Below are 19,999 nucleotides of genomic sequence, written 5' to 3' on the forward strand. Positions count from 1 at the left end.
AATTTAAAAATAAACGTGTGAAAAATCAAAGTAATGTTTTTAAATAAAAGAACACTGCAATTGCTATCCTCAGAAAGGCAAGAGAAATTATTTTACCCATGAAATAAGAATCAGAGTTATATAAAAGGAGTTGACATAAAACAAGAATAATTAAAATATCTTAAAAAGCAGAGTAGACATAAAAGATTGAATAACAATTTTGGAAGACAAAGTTAAGAAGAAGAAGAAAGAACTAGCAAGGTAGGAAATAAAATGACAGCATAACACTAGGTGATCCAACATCCTAGAAAATAGGTGTGTTCCAGAAGAGAGGACTGAAAAGAGAAAATTATTTTAAAAAACTCAAGCCTCAGACTTCTCAAACTACTGGATGGGGGCAAAACTTTCAAAATTCTGAGGAAAGATGATTTCCAACCTAGAATTCCATTTCCAGCTTGACCATCAACTAAGTTTGAGGGTAAAATACAGATATTTTGAGAACATTCATTCCTAAAACAGACCTCTCCTGAATCCTTTTCTTTAGGAAGCTTTAGAGCATGTGCTCCATTAAAAAAAAAGAAAAGAAAAAAATCAATACAGTTACGGAGTAGGAAAAAAAATGGGATACAAGAAGCAGGGGCCCTAACACAGAAGAAGGAGAATCCCTGGCATGGCTGATTAAGGAGATACAGGTTAGCCACCACATAGCAAACCTAGAGAGCAGACATTCAGGGTTGGAATTTAAGAATGGAGAGCAACAAAAAAATGTCTCCACAAAAAAAGGATACAACTGAGAGATTAGCTGATGAGTTTTAATATATTGAGAGGATATTTACACTTCTAGTGAAATGTTTGAGCATATACTAGTGGTAAGCACTAGAAAATGAAGAAAACAAAGAAGATAATTATTAGCTCCAGGGAAAAGAAAAAGCTGCACAAGAAAAGAAACATAATCATAGTACACTACGTGACTCAGCTCAAAATATGTACTACCATAAAGAAAGTATTACACATTAAATATTCTAAAATATAATATAACTACCAGGGAGGGTGGAAGAAGAGAAATGGAGGAAGGGTGGAAAGAGGGCATGTGTAAGTTACATCTTTGCCTTCAACAACAGGTCAACAGACAATCTCTAGAACTCAAAAGAAAAAATCATGGAATTGAAGTGTATGTTAACTTTCTATCACTGCCATAACAAATTACCAATAATTTAGTAGCTTACAACAACACAAATTTGTCTTAGTGTTCTTCAGTTTAGAAGTCTAGGCCGGGTGCAGTGGCTCACGCTGGTAATCCCAGCACTTTGGGAGGCCGAGGCGGGTGGATCACCTAAGGCCAGGAGTTCGAGACCAGCTTGGCCAATGTGGTGAAACCCTGTCTCTACTAAAAATACAAAAATTAGCCAGGTGTGGTGGCGGGCACCTGTAATCCCAGCTACTCAGGAGGCTGAGGCAGAAGAATCACTTGAACCCGGGACGTGGAGGTTGCAGTGAGCTGAGATCGCACCATTGCACTCTAGCCTGGGCAACAAGAAGGAAACTCCGTCTCAAAAAAAAAAAAAGAAGAAGAAGAAGTCTAAAACAGGTCTCACTAGAGTGACCATCCAGGCAAAATCAAGGGGTCAGCCGGGCTCTGTTTCTTTCTGGAGACTCTGAGGAGAAACCGTTTCTTTGCTCTTTGAACTGTTGGAGACTGCTTACATCACTTGGCTCATGGCAAAGAGCCAGTGATGATGTATCAAGTCTGAGTTCTAACTTCTGCTTTCTTCTTCCACTTTTAAGGTCCCTTATGATTACATTGGCTCCATCCAGAGAATCCTGGATAATCTTCCTATTTTAAAGTCAACTGATTAGCAGCCGTGATTCCACTGGTGGCCTTAATTCCCCTTTGCCATATAAACTAACATATTCACAGGTTGTGGGAATTAGGACATGGACACCTTTGGGTTAGGAAGGACAACTATTCTGCCAACCACAGAGTGTAAGTGTATATTGGGAAGTGTGAGAAGAAACTGTGAAAAAGTGAAAAATAGCTCCTCCTGGGGTTTGGGAAGAACAGGGAAGAGCCAGCTGTTTTCTTTATAAACTAGTACTACTCTGCCTTTTAAAAAGAAAACCTATGTTAATGTATAACTTTAATTAAAATAACAATTAAATTACAAAATAAAACTGCCGTAGCCAGGAGAAATATTAAACAGGCAAGAGCCATGACCAGATTTGTCTTTTTAGAAAATTCCCTCTTGAAGCTGTGTGGATTCAAAGATGGGAGTTAAAACTAAACTCACTCATTAATGATATGCCTGGGGAAGCATCTCAGGTAGAGAGAAAAAGAACTGCCTTTAATGATGTCTAGAAGGTGTGATCAAAACCCTACAGAGGAAATCCAAGAAGAAAAGAAAGAAAACACAAAGAGGGTGTATTTAAAATCAGCATCCAGAACTCTGTACCTGGACTCAGCTCTGCAACCATGTCAGTGTGACTTCCTCCTGCAGGCCATGACCCTCTGGGGAAGGGGCCAGGCCTTCATCACAGTCAGATGTAAACAGGCACCTGGTAAGTGCTTGCACAAACAGCAACCCACAGCTTGTAACTACACAGTCATCCCATTCAGGTCTGCCAGGAGTTCTCATGACTGCCATGGGACTAACAGAGCATTTTTGTTCTCTTGGCTATTACCTTTTAAGTATTTCCTTAATTTAAAATTAATGTAAAATTCAATAGCAACACAAGGAAAATCATACCTGAAGGGTTAATCGTCCATTGAAACAAACACCGGCTCCTTTCACTGGCATTTTGCATTATTGTATCATAAAGATAATGGGCAATGACTCATTCAACTGAGAAGGAAATAGTTCAAAGCTAAAATTATTTTGGTTCATTCCCAGTATTGACAGAATGTGTGTGTATGTGTGTGTGGGTGTGTGTGTGGGTGTGCATGTGCCCACACACATGCATATTTTCAAACAGTCCATAGAAATAGGAGACACACCTATATTGGATACTACAGTAACAGTTAACACAGGCAAGTGCTTGATAGTTTAGAAGGTTGACAAGACAATCTGGAGGTAAGTAGTATTATTAACCCTGTTTTATAGATGCAGACACCAAGGCTCAGAAAGATTATAGAACTTGTGAAACACAATTGTCTAGTGAGTGAGTGAGCTGGGGGCTTGAACAACTGTCTCTCTGACCCTCAAATTTGTACTCTTTTTCTCTGTATCTTGCCATCAGTGAAGCTCAAACCTAACACATGACAGGGTTTCAGAAACATCGATCAGAGCAGAGCCCGACTTACACGGCATGGGCAAAATGACTAGCCGAAACCATGATACCACTGTGTGGGTATCATGAAAACCACCATGAGCAACACAACCACAAAGCCCCAGGCATCTCAGAAGGGGCCACTCCCCAGAGCTCTGCCTTCGTTTGCTGCTACCTGGTCCTCTGAACATGCCCTGGCAAGTAGTAGATACCAAGTGTCAGGGGCTTAACAGAAATTTTAGGGAGAAAGACTTACAACTAATTTTTTAAAATTCAGTGCATTTTAGGAGAAGGTGGTCATTCACATATCTTAATCTGTCACTTTAGTCAGACACTTTGGTCTGCTCAAAGCTCATCGGTATCCCAGAAGATCAAGGTCCAAGATGGTAGCCTCATCCAGGATGGAGACATAGAATTCCCTGGCAGTGCTCAGTGGCATCAACCAACAATGGATTCACTGAAACCATCTCCACTTTATTAAAACAAATTGCTAATTAATTGGGAGTAGGTGAGTGATATTATTTAGTCAAATTTCTATGATGAGACACTCAAAGTGCAAGAGTTCATTAACTTTTTCTGCAAAGGACCAAGAACAGTAGTTCCTGCTGAGCTCTGGCCAAACTGCAAGCCCATAAGCAAATAAATGATTAATATTTTAGCCAATTTGTTATCTCCAAACCTTCTATTCTTTCTTAAATTCTCCAATCATGTTGCCCCACCTCTCCACCAAAATGCTCTTGCCAAGGTCATCTATATATTGCTAAATCAATGGTTCCATTCTCAGTCCCCATTTTATTTGACCTATAAAAATCATTTGAACCAGCTGATCACTCCTTCTTCCATGACACACTTGGCATCCAGGCCCCATAAAGCCTTGGTTTTTCTTCTGACCCATTGTTCCCCGTCTCAGCCTCTTTTTCTGATTCTTCCTTTTCTCCTTTGTTTTCATGTTAGTGTGCCCATGGACTCAGTCTTTAGCCTGCTTTTCTGCTCTACCTATGACTGTATCAGCAATCTCATCTAGCCTCATGGTTCTAAATATCACATACGAATGATGTTTTCATATCTTTCATATGTGACGTTTAGAATCATGAAAATGAAGTCTGGAGTTTTGAAGATACTTAAGGCGATACAATTTTATATAGGGTAGTCAAGACAGGACTTTAGACAGGTGTTCTAAACTAAATGATAGTTTCGTGAACATATTATGGACAAATTCAATAATATTCCTCAAGACTCATCTTCCAATCTCCAGACTTCATTTTCCAACTGCCTCTTATGCTTCCACTTGGATGTCTGATAAACATCTCAAACATAACATGTGCAAAACCGAATCCTTGATATCTCTGCCAAACCAGCCCCACACACACAACCTTCCCCATTTCAGTTGATGGCAACTCCATCCTTCTACTTGATCAGGCCCAAAGCTTTGATGTCATCCTTGACTCTTCCCTTCCTCTCCTACTCTACATCCAATCTGTCCTGAAACCTCCCTTTTGGCTCACCCTTCAAAAGCACATCCAGAACCTGACCACTTCTCACTGCCTGCACTAAAGCTGGTCTCAGCCAACCTTGATTCTTGCCTTGATTATTGTGATAACCCCTATATCATCCCTCTACTTCTACATTTGCTCTCAAGTTCTCATCAAAACAAACAGCGTTGTTAAATGTCAGATGATGGCACTCATCCACTCAAACCCTACTATGGTTCCCTAATTCTATCAGAGTAAAAGCTAAAGTACTCAAAGTCCTATATGATCTTCCCTCTCCCTTACCTCTCCATCATCCATATTCTGTCTCTTTCCCCCTTCCTCATTCCACTCTAGTCACATTGGCTTATTTGCTTTTCCTCAACTAAGTCAGGCACACTCCCACCTTTGGGTCTTTGAATGGTGATTTTCTGTCCCTGCCATGCTCTTCCCCAAGGTACCTACCTGGCCAACTTCCCTTCTCTTTTTCAAGTATTCGCTGAACTATCATTTTCTCAAGTCTTGTCTAGACCACCCTATGTAAAATTGTATCTCCTTGAGCACCCCCTAGCTTCCTTACCTAAGCCAGAATGGGAGCACCACAAGGGCAAGAATCTTTGTGTTTATTACTGATTGATCCCAAGCACCTAGGACAATATCTGGCACTTAATATATTCTTAACGAATAAATGAATGAATGAATGGCCCAAAGTCAAAGTCATGCAGATCATTAGGGGAAGGGTCTTATGTAAGTCACTTCTCCTTTTAAAGTCCTGTTTTCCGTGTTGTAAATTGAGAGCACTACACTAGGCTTCTTCTTGTCCCAAAGCACTATGTCTCTGATTTGATGGATCTGTCCTTCCTGGCAGTCATATCTTCTTCTTCAGCAATAGTTCCCAGTTTTCACTGGGCATCCATTGCCCATTCAATCAGGCCATGTGGTCTGGAGGGAATCCCACATCTACTTTTGGATGTGATACATGATCCAGGCGCACGCCCATCAGCACATTGCATTTTCCAGGCCATTATAATTGGTTCAGGAACAGGCAAAGGAACCAATCAACAACATTCAGTGTCACTTCTAAGTGAAAATGCAAGGGGAGCAGCACGTACTTTTCACCTCAGTGCCAAGAGCTTGTTAGGTCTAGAGTTGTCATCTTGAGAACATGTAGCTGCTGGGGACAACCAGATTGAATGAAGTCAATTCCATGGAAGACAGAACAAAGAAATGGGAGGACACCAAGTCCTTGTAGCATCAACCATACCCTGAATTTAGCTGGTACCCTGAACTTTTCTGGGATGTGAATCAAAAAACTCCATATATGGCTTAAGCCAGTTCGAGTTGAGATTTCAGCCACTTGCAGTTAAAAGAATCCCGACACTAGAGCCTAAGAACGTTTGTGAGACTGTCTTTACTGGGAGACAAGCTAAAATTTGAGATGGCCCCTTCTCACTGATAGACTATACAATTTACAGCCTCATCCCCACCCCACCATCCATTTTGGCACAAAGATTGAAAGTTCATTACACAATGAAATCACAATGTGATAACCTCTACCTGCCTTCATTCTTTCTTCCATCTCTATGTGTGAATTTTTTAAAAAGTCTTAACCAATAAAAGGAATTATTCAAGACTTCTCTATTTGCCCAACACACATAGATCATACACATATAGCAGGGACCCAATACATAATTACTGAATGATCGAATAAAGAGAACATTACTAATAAGTTGTTTCTTTCCCTTTTTTTGTTATTAATGCTTCAAACACAGCAAACAGCAGATAAAAATGATGATGGATTTTATTGAATTATATTTGGTACATGCTACATGCTACATCTATTGGAGCCAGTTCTGGCCTTTCTAGTTTAAGAGGGATACAGGGTACTTGGAGTGAGTACAGAGATTAAACCAATGATATACTGGAAAGTACAACGTATTAATCCAGTGTAAGAGAATAGACAACAGCAAGAAACAACTAAAGAGACACTTACTACTCAACAAATGTACAGAATCCAAGAGCTTAGAGATCATCTGACCTAATAACCACCTCATTTTACAGAAGAGGTAACTGAGGCTTTCAGAACCAAGGTGACTAAAGGAAATGCCAAGGCATCTGGGATGCATTCTAGGATACCGCTTTTCAAACTGTGGGTCAACATCTATTAGTGGGTTGTGAAATTAGTTTGTAGGTTTGGTCAATTTTTTTAATGAACAAATGAGAATAGAACAGAATAGCAAAGAAAAAATCTGAATGCATTTTCTATAAGGGTAGGTGTTACTGCATAAAACTTTTGTTTCAGTTTACACACACACACACACACACACACACACACACAAACATACATATTGTGTCCTGAGTCAGGATGTAAAATGCACCTCATACTATGAATCAAGTTTTAAAAAGTTTGTAAATCACAGATCAAGGAAGATGAGGGCAGTGACTGATAATGCATTGTGTTCAGAGCCCAGCAGAGAAGACCTGTGCTGATTTTGACTCCATGTTCAACAACAGTGAGTGCAAACCTAGACAATCATCAGAATCACCTGGGGAGATTTTTTAAAATACAGATTCCTGAGCACCACTTCCAAAGATTCTGAAGGTCCAGAAAAAGTGTTTTATTTTTTAAAAGCTTCCCAGGAAATTCTCATGCACAGATTAGTTTTAAGACCAAATATCCCTTTGAAGGAGAAAATCAGCAAAAGCTCATCCTCTATTGAGATCAATCTACAAAGTGCTACAAGAGTGGCTACAGAGCAACTTCAGGTTGTCTTTTAGGGCACTGACACATGGGTCTCCTGCAAAGGGTGATGTTTGCATCAGACACCACCCACAGATATTCACAAATAAGGATTTAAGGTTTCCTGGAGACCTAGGGAAGCTAGAAAGGAGAGAAATAAAGGAGGAAGGCCAATAATCCCGTAAAGAGGCCAGTATTATCCTGATACCAAAATCAGTCAAAGACATCACAAGAAAAACAAACAAAAAACTACAGACGAATATCTCTTATGAATATGGATGCAAAAATCCTCAACAAAATAATAGTAAACCGCATCTGGCAACACATAAAAAAGAGTTATGCACCATAACCTAGTGGAATTTAGTCTGGGAATACAAGGTTGGTTTAATATCCAAAAATGAACGAATGTAATGCACTGTATCAATAGAATAAAAAACAAAACCACATGACCAGCTCAATATACACAGAAAAAGAATTTGACAAGATTCAGTACTTTTTATGGGAGAAACACTTGAGCAACTTGGAATAGGAAGGGATTTCCTTATCCAGATAAAGGGCATCTATGAAAAGTCCACAGCTAACATCATACTTAATAGTGCAAGACTGGATGCTTTTCCTTTAAAGTCAGGAACTGGACAAGGATGTCTATTCCCACCACTTAAATTCAACATTGTATTGGAGATTCAAGCCAGAGATATTAGGCAATAAAATGATAAAAGGCACCAATATTGGAAAGAAATAAAACTATATTTATTCATAGATTACCTGACTCTGTATATAGGAAATCCTAAGGAATCCACTGAAATCTATTAAAACTAATAAATGTTTTCATTGAGTTTATAGAATATTTTTCTTTTCTTTTGAAGACAGGGTCTTGCTCTGTTGCCTGGGATGAGTACAGTGTGGCACAATCATGGCTCACTGAAGCCTCAACCTCCCAGTTTCAAGCAATCCTCCCACCTCAGCCTCCCAAGGAGCTGGGACTACAGGCATGTGCCACCATGCCCAGCTAATTTTAAAATTTTTTGTAGAGATGAGGTCTTGCTATGTTGCCCAGGTTGGTCTCGAACTCCTGGACTCAAGTGATCCTCCTGCCTCAGCTTCCCAAAGTGCGGGATTACAGGTGTGAGCCCCCATGCCTGGCCAGGATTTTCTGTACAAGACCAATCTACAAAAACAAAAGTAGTCCTATACACTGGTAATGAACAATCTGAAAATAAAATTAAGAAAACAATTCCACTTATAATAGCATCTGAAAGAATAAAATACTTAGGAATACCTTTACCGAAAGATGTGTAAGTGTTATACTCTAAAATTTAAAATGCATTAATGAAAGAAAGTAACAATGATCTAAATTTAGGATCTCAAAGTGGCTGGACAGAAAGTCAACAGACAGGGGCAGGAGGGAAGGGTCTGGAGAGTTACCAAACTACTCTCAGGAGACAGTCAGGCATCTGAATTACGCATACCATTTTTGACAAATGCGGTTTGAGATGTGGTTTGCATGCAAGATGACTAGGTTTAGAGTCATTTAACAGAATTGTTTTACGGATTGAATATCTGAGTCCTGCTCAAAATTGAAATGTTGAAGCCCAATCCCAGCATGATGGCATTAGGAGGTGGGAACTTTGGGAGATAAGCAGTGAAGGGTGCAAGAATATGCTGCCACTTGGTAAAAGGATTATTTTGAGCTAAATTCACTTAAGAAAACAGCAGACGCAAGAAGCGTGGCACTCTGGCCTCCCCCTTTTTCTACCTAAAAGTAGAAGATAAAACTCTCATGGGAAAAAATGTCCTCCCTATACCAGAAGGAAATCTGTACAAATCTTATGCAAATAACCCCTCCGAGTTAATTTTCCACCATTAACTGCCCTAGCCCAAGCCTCTTGGTCCTGTAATGTTTCCATAATTTGCTACTCTTTGTCCAGTTCAGTATGTAAGTATTTAATTCTAACTGCTTCTTTGGGTTGTCAGTTCCTTATGAGGGCTGAGTCACATAAAACTTAAATAAATATATATGCTTTTTTCCTGTTAATTGTATTTTTCTCAATTTAATTCTCAGGACCAGCCAAAAATGCTAAGAGGAAAGAGGTCAAATTTGGCCTTCCCTACTGTCGGTTTAGATGAGGTCATGAGGGTAGGAACCCCATGATGGGATTAGTATCCTTACAGGAAGAGGAAGGGACCAGAGCTCTTTCTCTCCACCATGTGAGGATGCAGCAAGGAGGCAGCCATCTGCAAGCCAGGGAGAGAGCCCTTACCAGGCACTGAATCAACTGACAACCAGATGGTGGGATTTCCCAGCTTCCAGAACTATGAGAAATAAATCTTCCTTGTGTAAGCCCCAAGCCAATAGTATTTTGTTATAGCAGCCTGAGCTGACTGAAACAGATTGCTTTTGCACATTTCATATTCTCTTAAAAGGGAAATTCCTTGAGGTCAGGGACTTTGTTGTCTCATAGGAGTCCCTGTACCTCCAGTAACTGGACAAGCACTTGGAACATAATAGGTGCTCAATAAAGACTTGAGGAATAAGAGTCTCCCTGAAGGCAACATCTGTGTCTAAATTGGTTGCGTAGCTCCTATATCATCCAAGGTTGCACTTCACCATCACTTTCCTTGTCTATGAAATGGAGATTAGCATTTTGCTACATGAATTAAATGACATAATGTGTGTCCAGCACTTAGCACTCTTCCAGAAATATTGGAAGCATTTAAAGATCAGGACAGTTTTGTACTATTGTGATTATTGTTATTGTTATTATTTTTCTTGTTGCATACAGCAAGTGCTCAGTAAATATTGATTGGTTCAATAAACAAATGCAGATGAAGTACCAAAAAGAAAACATGGGGCCAGGCGCAGTGGCTCATGTCTGTAATCCCAGCACTTTGGGAGGCCAAGGCAGGCGGATCACTTGAGGTCAGGAGTTTGGGACCAGCCTGGCCAACATGGCGAAATCCTGTCTCTACTAAAAATGCAAAAATTAGCCAGGTGTGGTGGCAGGCACCTGTAACCCCAGCTACTAGGGAGGCTGAGGCAGGAGAATCGCCTGAACCCAAGAGGTGGAGGTTACAGTGAACCAAGATCGCACTGCACTCCAGCCTGGGTGACAGGGTGACACTCTGTCTCAAAAAAAAAAAAAAAAAAAATCATGGTTAGTGAAGATTATTCAGCTCTGTGCCCACAGGACAAGAAACCTTCCCTTCAAGTCTTCAATATGCATTAAATATTGATCAGTCTGCCACAGAAGCACAGTCTTGACTTGAATCAGGGGGAGTACATAGAGACACCCGAGGATCCAGCCAGAAGACGAGCTATACATGGCTTCTACGCACAACAGCAGTGAAACACCCTTGCAGTGGCACAGAGGGACCTGCGGGTGCAGAACACTCCTCCAGGAATTTTTCTGAGGAAAAAATGATCGCTCATAAAAAACTGCCTGTTTTCCAGAGCACTGACCACATGCATTGCTCACCAGCAAATCTAGAATATTCAACTCCCTACTGGGGTTTTTCTAACCCAGAGCAAAGGCTGTACTGTGCTATATTATATGCAGGTGCTCTATTTTTTTGTAAATTCCATCCTGGCAAGCAAGGGCTCCAGAGGCCAACACCAGAGTTTGGAGAGCTAACACTTCCTTAATTGCACCTACACAGTTTGTTGGATCCAAGCTTGCATTTGGAATCCGCTCCCATAATTACAATGGACAGTGCTGAATACACACAGGGGCTGGCAGTTGCGGTGTCCTTATCGGGCTTCTCCCAGCGTGTGTGACGCGTCTTCCTCTCACCTGCCATCCACTCGATCTGTGGGACTGGAATGATAAACATGGGGCTTGAATAGCCCAGCCTTGAACCGGTACTGGTCACAGGTGTGCATGTCTGCATTGGTAGAGGTAGCACCCGATTTGAAATGTATTCATATTTTCACAATTAGTAGGGGTGGGAGGGGAAATTAGTGTGTAAACCCATACCAGTTCTACCATGAGTGTATCACTGGTTTTATGAAACATGAAACCATGCTATTGTAGAATGTGTGCTTGCAGGATTCTTGTGGGTGAAATTGGAAACTTGTCTTGGAATAGGGTTGTCACCTGCTAATTGAGAAGGGTGTGTAAGAGGAGCTACAGTGGCAATTTGCTGTTTCATACTAACCCATAAAAGTAATAAAAATCAATGTGCAAGAATGTGTTAAGCCTTCTTTAATTTGCCTTCTGAATGAATTTTTCCTGAAGAACTAAGCAAAACGAGAAGGACATTTATGAACCTTAAGGCATCTCACAATATTGGGTACTACAATAAACTCAACCTTGCTGAGGACATGCTAAAAGACATATTGTGCCTTTTCCTGACTACCCCACTACAGCCTACTCTACTTCCACTCTCTTTTTATGGAAGCAAAAAGGATCTTCTTAATTCTTTCTCTGACACTTTCATAAAACTCACAAACATGCCTCCAGCATATTTCAAAACACACTTGTACAGGAGAGCCTCAACAGTATAGTGCAAAGACAAAGAGAGCCAAGCTTGACGTTGAAGACCTGAGACTGACCTTCAGTTCTGCCCTTTAATAAGAAAAAGAGTTTGGGAGCATTTCCCAACCTTTTTGAGCTTCAGATCCCTTGTTTATAAAATGAGGATATTTTCCTTTAAAATCCTCCTGGCAGACTTGTGAGGATTAAATAAAATGAGGGATGTGAGCGAGAACTTCAAGTAGTGCCTTCCAAATCATTGCCCCAGAATTTGCAATCCTTCCTAAGTTTACAATCTTGCTTAATATTTCATGTGTTTTCTGTATTCATTACATAATTATAGTAAAATGCAATTATTTTGGCTTAGAACCAGTTGACAGAGTTGATACAAGGAGATTATAACTATGGTCCAAGATAAGAGTTCCTGCTCCATTTATGGGACATTCTTAAGTTTGCATTTGGAAGGCTGGAGCCAGTGGTGACAAGACCCAACACCTAGGCTGTGTTTATTAGGGCCTTTATAACTCAAGCGGCCTCAGTGGGGCACCCTTCGCTTTAGGAAAGGCAGGTAGAGGGTGAAAGGGCTCACACCTAGTCCAAGTGTCTTCCAGTAGAGACGAGTATCCTTCAGGCAATCCCAACGGGGTTAGGACCTCAGTCCACAATGTGCCCCCACCTACTTTGCTGCTCCAGGAACTTCATTTCAGCAGGTCTGGTTCCTTCCCAGAGTAAGGCAAATCCTGTGTAATAAGCTCTTTCTTGCTAAACTCCCAAAAGACTGATAAATAACCAGGATGCCAATCCATGGGTTTGTAATGAGAAATGGCAAACTCTTAGCAGACTGGAATGGCCACATCAGCAGGTCAGTGCATTCCCTCACGGAAACAAGAAAATCCACACTATAATTTGATAACTGTGGAGTCAGAACAAATGAATGCAGGTATTCTTAATGCATATTCCTCACAAAAGATACTTTGAGGCATTCTTCCCCATTCTTGAATAGCTGGAGAACTCTAGAGCACTATGGCTTGAATTGTTTGGCTAAGCCTTCTGGAAAACTTTGGGTACAGAGTAAATATGTTTTTGTCTGTTCCCCCAAACATGTGCTTGGCCTCCACTCCATGCTTGGCACTGTGCCAAGTGTTTTTCACCATTTTCACTCAACACTTCCAGTGACGGTATGAGGAAAGGTGTGTTGCTATCACCACGTCACATAAACTGAGGCTTACGGGAAGACACTTACCCAAGGGCATAGTAATAAGTGGCAGGGCAGGATTTAAACTCAGAGTCTAATCCTCACTCTGAGCTATGAACTTCTGCTTCTCATACTGGGCTAAATTAATACAGCCAACTTCTGGCCATGGCAACCCTTGAATCTTTGCTGGGAATTTTGGTGTTTCTGAAAGTCCTCAGTCACCTTTAATCCAACCACTTATAAAGTTGTTGATTAAAAGAATGCCTTTGTTGCCAGATATCATCTATGATACTTCTCTCCTCCATGTGTCTTCCTATAATCAGTCACAGACTGTTAATGTTGCAATGGACTTTTGAAATCATGCGATTTAAAAATCATTTACTCTTTACAGAAAATGAGAGCCAGAGAAGTTAAGTACCTTGCCCAAGCTTTTCCTTAATACTCAACAAATGTCTATTGAGTGTCTACTAGGCACAAGGCATAAAACGTAAGTCAGTGGCAGAGTCAAGACTAGTTTTCTAATTCTTGCTCCAGCAACTATTCTTCACTCTATGCTGCAGCAGTTCCAAAAGTAATTGAGGAGTGGTTTTCTTTTTTAACCAATATGTAACCCTTCCCCTTGATAATGCAATGTAAATTGTGCCTTGGATCCAATTGCTTGCACCCTTTGTCACCATGTTAGGATCTTTATCCCTCGAGATTTCTTGGGCTGTAACAGGATCTCTCTTGCCCAATGCTCTCTGCCACATGGATGTCCCAAAGATCGGATCCTGGTGGAATACACTGGCTGCATGTTGCAGTGAGGCCTAGGAGAAGTCCTATGTCACAATTAGTTCCTTAACATAGTTTTTAACCCATCCAACCACTCTGTAAAAATAGCTATTGAATGAGTTAAGAAATTAAAGAATTAATGAGCAGACACATCAGGGCCCAATCACTGCTTGTAGGATCCCAGATAAAGAGCTCAGACTAAAAAGCAGGTATCACCACCAATCTTGATGCAGGAGGTCTGTAGATACCCCTACTGTTCTGTCCTATAGGGTAAATCCAGCAGCAATGGCTGACTAGAACCTGTCAGCTGAGCCAAGTCTCAGCTATGGATGTATGCCCCATGGCCCATGTCCACCAGCTTTTATGCCCCAGTTTGAGGTCAAATGGTGGGATGGTGAAAGAAGAACAAGCAGGAAAAGCCACTTGCAATGAAAACGAGTAAAATCTTTGTTGTTTCATTGGGGCTTGCTTTTCATGCTTTTAACCATAGAGTAGAATTTGGTCCTGTTGGCAAGTGCCTTTTGAACTACTCTTCTGAAAACGTTTTATTAAGACGCACCCAAAGATGCAGCAGGATCCTGAAGTAGCTTTTGGAGACAGTGCAGACATATTGCCATGCACTTTGGAGCTTTGACATTGCCTAAAAGCCAAAATAAATTTCAAATCCTTTCTGCTACTACTGCCTATGATATGAGGACTGGGAGAAAAGAAAAACGAGGTCATTCACTTTTCATTGAGTAGATATTTATTAAGTACATATCATATTGGAGTCACTAAGGACATAACAATGGACACAGCACAATCCCTTTTCTCCAAGAACTCAGAGTCCTCGTGAAGCTGCCAGTAGCTAGTACACTGAATAGTGTGATGACTATGTTAAAATTTTGTTTTAGTGTGCTGCAGCAATGTCTTTCTCTAGGAAAGAGAAAGTTAAATAACATTACAGGAGGAAGTAGTGTAGTGTATTAGTTTTGTCTGTGAACTCTAGAGAGAGCTCACCGGAGTTTAATTCTCAGACCTATGATTTCTCAGCTGTGTGCAACTGAGCACATTTACTTGAACCTTCTAAAAATCTCTGTTTCCTCATCTGTAAGATGGAGCTAATGGTAGCAATACACAGGGAGTTATTGTTAGCTTTCAATGAGCTGAGCCTCTTTAAAGTGTGTAGCACAATAACACCTGGCTCGTGTTAAGAGCTCAACAAATCTTAGACATTTTATTATTTTAATTATTAACCCAAAATCCACCTAAATTAATAAAACATTCTATCTAAAGAAGGAAAAAAGAGAAAGAAAGAGGAAGGAAAGGAAGGAGGGAATAGAACTAGGGGGAAGGGAGGGGAAGGAAGAAGGGGAAGGGAAGGCAGAAGGGGAAGGGAAGGGAGAAGGGGAAGGGAAGGGAGAAGGGGAAGGGAAGGGAGAAGGGGAAGGGGAAAGGGAAGGGAAGGGGAAGGGAGGGGAAGGGAGGGGAAGGGAGGGGAAGGGAGGGGAAGGGAGGGGAAGGGAGGGGAAGGGAGGGGAAGGGAGGGGAGGGGAAGGGAAGGGAGATGGGGAAGGGACAGAAAAAGGCTATGTGCTTGGTCCTCAAATTATCCCTAAAGAAAAAAAATTAAATAAAAACCAACTAGAAGCAAAAAGCATAATTGGTGCATGATCAAAAAACCAGAACCACCTCTTTCCTCCTTGTAGCTTTCCTGACTAACAGGCTGCCCCTCCAGCCCTTACTGAGCCTGTCTAGGGGCCATGACAGCCTCTTGCTTGTGCTCAGAGCAGTGGCCATCTGGGCACCACACATCTATTTCTCATTTCCTCTTTTGTTCTTCTTCCGTGATCAGAAAAATATTTGTAAAAATGACAGTTTTTTGGCAAATGAGAAGCTCCACAAAACTTTCCAGGGCCTGGGGCATGAATGCTAAACTCTGCCATCTAACCAGCAGGTCCCCTCACAATGCTCCATATGAGGATAATTGATGTTTGTTCGTGGGCAAGTCCAGATTCGAGCATTTAAAAAAATGGAGTACCTCCTACATGTCAGATTCTATTCCAGGGCTGGAGATTGATGGTCTCTGCCCTTACATCCAAGCAAGAAAGACCCATGGTAAGCAAGAAAACAAATCCGTAGTCATTTCAGACAGCGACAAGTGCGATGATGTAAGAGCAAAAGCCTGTATGTCTGTGTGGAGGGTGGGAGCTTTTTCTCGTGGGGTGGTCAGGGAAGTTCTCTGCTCAATCAACACTTGCCAGAGTCTCAGCTGGAGTCATCGTACAAGGGCTCCACAAGCCTCTGCTTTCAGCAAACAAGTAAAATTTCACTGTTAGACGGATTTCTCTCTACTCGAATTCTCAGAAAAGAAACTGATTTAAGGCAAGTCTTCATTAATCTCAACACTCATCCCTTTACAGTGCTGGATAATCAGATACATGCCATAAAGCCCCAGGGCAAATGTAACACAGAAAATAGTTAAGAAAAACAATTGTACCAAATGTGATCTCAAGCTGATAGCACCAGTAGGTCAACATAGCTTCTGCCACCTGTGGCCCCAACTTTCTCTCATGATTGTAGAGTCCCTGGAGTACTGGTCTCATCTCCTAACTGGCCTTCCTTTCTTGCACACAGTAACCTAAGTAATCTTTTTAAAATGCCACCTCTGACAGGAACAATAAACACTGGGGATTCCAAAAGGTGGAAGGAGGGAGGGGACAAGGGTTGAAAAACTACCTATTGGGTGCTATGTTCACTACCTGGGTGATGGGGTCATTAGAAGCCCAAACCTCAGCATCATGTAATACCCATGTAACAAACCTGCATAGGTACTCCCTGAATCTGAAATTTTAAAACGTAAAAATAAAAATAAAATGCACCTCTGATCAAGCACTCTGCTGCTTAAAATCCTTAAATGGCTCCCATAACTCTTCATCTAAAGACGAGAAGCTGAAGCTGGCCCACACCCGAGGCTGATGTTCAAAATATATTAATATAACTCCCCAGGTGCTTATCAGTCAAAACACAAGCCAGCCAAAAACAACCTTATGAACACACAACCCCGATACATGTATATTTACTTTAAAATTATATACATGTACTACCATCAACCCATATGTTAAATATCAGTAAGATTATTTTTTCTCATAAAAACAAATGCAAATAGAAGTTGTACCATTTCCTTTCCCAAGGGATTGGCATGTGCTCCCCAACCATGAACAATGACCCTCTCATGTTAATGTATAACATAAAAATTAATGGAGACAAAAAATGTATTGTTAATTTCCATGCTGCTCATACAGTGTGCCTTACTCCATGCACTTGGACCTGAAAATTTAGTGTAAACCAAATTTTAGCAAAAGAAACTATATTGTAAACACAATGAGGGAAACTGGCTATTTATAGGAATCTTCTTTAGGCATCTCTTTTGTAAAGTAAATAAATACTTTGTAATTAAATCAGTTCAATACAGATTCATTTTCTAAGCTCCTAAAATAAATTTTTTTTAAAAAAAAATAATCACCCCTAGGCCGGGCATGGTGACTCACACCTGTAATCCCAACACTTTGGGAGACCAAGGCAGGTGGATCACCTTAGGTCACCTTAGGCCAGCCAACATGGTGAAACCCCATCTCTACTAACCACACACACACACACACACACACACACACACACACACACAAGAATTAGTTAAGTGTGGTGGCGGGCACCTGTAATCCCAACTACTTGGGAGGCTGAGGCAGGAGAATTGCTTGAACCCAGGAGGCAGAAGTTGCAGTGAGCTGAGATCATGCCACTGCACTCCAGCCTGGGCGACGGAGCACGACTCTGTCTCAAATAATAATTATAATTATTATTATTATTTATAATTGATAATAACCACTAAAATGAAGCCAACAGCCAAGACACTCAAAAAAACAAATTATATTTCACGCCCACTTGCAATCTAATTATTTCACTATCTATCACTATAGAATTGGAAGAAGTTATTCTCATGAACACCCTGAAGGAAACTTTCCATTATGGTATGAATAATTAGTGAGTTCTTTTGAAAAAATGGTGCAGGCCTGGTAGACAGGTACAATGTTTCAAAAATCCAAAGGATGGATACAGCCAGGTGCAAACAAACTTTTCTCTCTTCTCTAGACACTGGCCCCAGTTTCCCACTTCCGGCCTCTGTTTACGCTGGTTCTCACCAGAAACACCGCTCCCAGACCCATCCCTCTCTCACCCAGACGACTGCACGTAAGCAGGTACCCACGCATGAGTGTGCACATACACAGACACACACACTCCAACATACACACACACACACACTCCGACTCAGTCACCCAAATCCTGCCGACTTTCAAAGCCCATCTCAAACACAGTCACGGATCACACAACTGTATTTTGGTCAACAATGGACCAAAATATATTTATACAATGGTGGTCCCCTAAGATGACAATATGGTTATTTTTACTGTGCTTTTTCTAAGTTTAGATCTGTTTAGATACAGAAATACTCACCATTGTGTTACAATTGCCTACAGTATTTAGTACAGTAACATGCTGTACAGGTTTCTAGTCTAGGAGTAACAGGCTCTACCACGTAGCCCAGGTGTATAGTAGGCTATGCCATCTAAGTTTGTGTAAGCACACTCTATGATGGTCACACAAATTGCCTACCAACACATTTCTTAGAATCCTCCCTCGATCTGTCCCAACTGAGACCAGAAATTGTGAAAATCAATTCATCTGACATATCATATCCTTTTCTCTGAACCACACTTAGTTAGAAAACAAATTTAAAAGTGCTGTCTTGCTTTAGTCCTCCTACTAAATGCCGACCACATTAAGATCACAGACTTTATTTTTATACATTTCCCACAGCACTTAGTTCATTGTTTTGTAAACAGCTGATCAATCTTTGTTTGGCAAATGAACAGAAAAACACCTTAGCATCAAATAACCTTCCATCGCTGGTAACAGCCCAGGTGGTTTATGTAGTTTCTTTTTTTTTATTTTTTTTTTTGAGACAGAGTCTCACTCTGTCGCTAAGGCTGGAGTACAGTGGCACCGTGTCAGCTCACTGCAATCTCCGTCTCCTGGGTTCAAGCAATTCTCCTGCCTCAGCCTCCAGAGTAGCTGGGATTATAGGCGTCCACCACCGTAGTTTCTGAAACTATTATCTTTAAAGTGTAAAGTAGGTCAGGAAATCACTGATGAAAATTAAATAACCATGTTATGTAAAAGCCTCAGACTGTGCAGGCGAATTTGAAAGTTTATGTTCCACTCTTGAGCTTGTCATCATAACACCTTCCTGACGGAGTTTATGATATGAGTCAGCTCTCCCGCCCAACAGTCCATCTGAGGGTCCAGGCCAATGAGGACAGCATCAGACACTGCAGGTGGGGCCATAATTGGAGCCCCTCCATGGGAAAACTGTCACTTCCCACCTCCCATGGCAACCTTGGCCTTTGGAGTTGCCAAGAAAGCCAGGCAGGACTTGGCTATTCAAACCCCACAACAACCAGCTTTAAAAAGTCACAATTCTAGGCCGTTTACCACAAATAATGCACACTTCTATGTATAGGATGATGAAATTGATGTGTAAATCTCCATTTTATTTTATCTTTTTTTTTTTTTTCTGAGACAAAGTCTCACTCTGTCATCCAGACTGGAGTGCAGTGGCATGATCTCGGCTTACTGCATCCTCCACTTCTCAGGTTCAAGCGATTCTCAATCCTCATCCACCAGAATAGCTGGAATGACAGGCATGCACCACCATACCCGGCTAATTTTTGTATTTTTAGTAAAGACAGGGTTTTGCCGTATTGGCCAGACTGGTCTTGAACTCTTGACCTCAAGTGATCCACCTGCCTTGGCCTCCCAAAGAGCTGGGATTATAGGTGTGAGCCACCGCACCCAGCCTAAACCTCAATTTTAAAATGAGTTCAACCTAGGAATCACTAAGATGCATTCTATCGCTAAAATTATTATTCTGTGCATCCCCCAAGACTGTGATACTGACAATTATTACAATCTTATCTATGGCCATTTGTAAATAAAAAGAATAATACTTCCCCACAAAAACTAAAACAGATGGGGTAAGGGGAGGAAAAAGGGAGAGGTTCTAATGGTCACA

General features: G+C 41.1%; 1 long non-coding RNA gene across 2 annotated transcripts in view, besides 1 other annotated feature; it reads right to left on the reverse strand.

The window, feature by feature from the left end:
• Positions 1–19,999, reverse strand: part of LOC124902515 (uncharacterized) — a 66,678-nt gene that overhangs the window by 37,674 nt on the left and 9,005 nt on the right. The gene's annotated exons all lie outside the window — the stretch shown is intronic.
• Positions 2,373–3,572: an enhancer, noted in NCBI's record as "P300/CBP strongly-dependent group 1 enhancer chr10:122918427-122919626 (GRCh37/hg19 assembly coordinates)". NCBI's record gives its function as "activates an origin of replication core promoter dependent on BRD2, BRD4, P300/CBP, MED14 and CDK7 cofactors, with strong dependence on P300/CBP, by STARR-seq in HCT116 cells {active_cell/tissue: HCT116}" and the evidence as "EXISTENCE:reporter gene assay evidence [ECO:0000049][PMID:35650434]".

The sequence above is a fragment of the Homo sapiens genome, chromosome 10 (assembly GCF_000001405.40).
Source record: "Homo sapiens chromosome 10, GRCh38.p14 Primary Assembly".
In the NCBI taxonomy this organism is placed as follows: domain Eukaryota; kingdom Metazoa; phylum Chordata; class Mammalia; order Primates; family Hominidae; genus Homo; species Homo sapiens.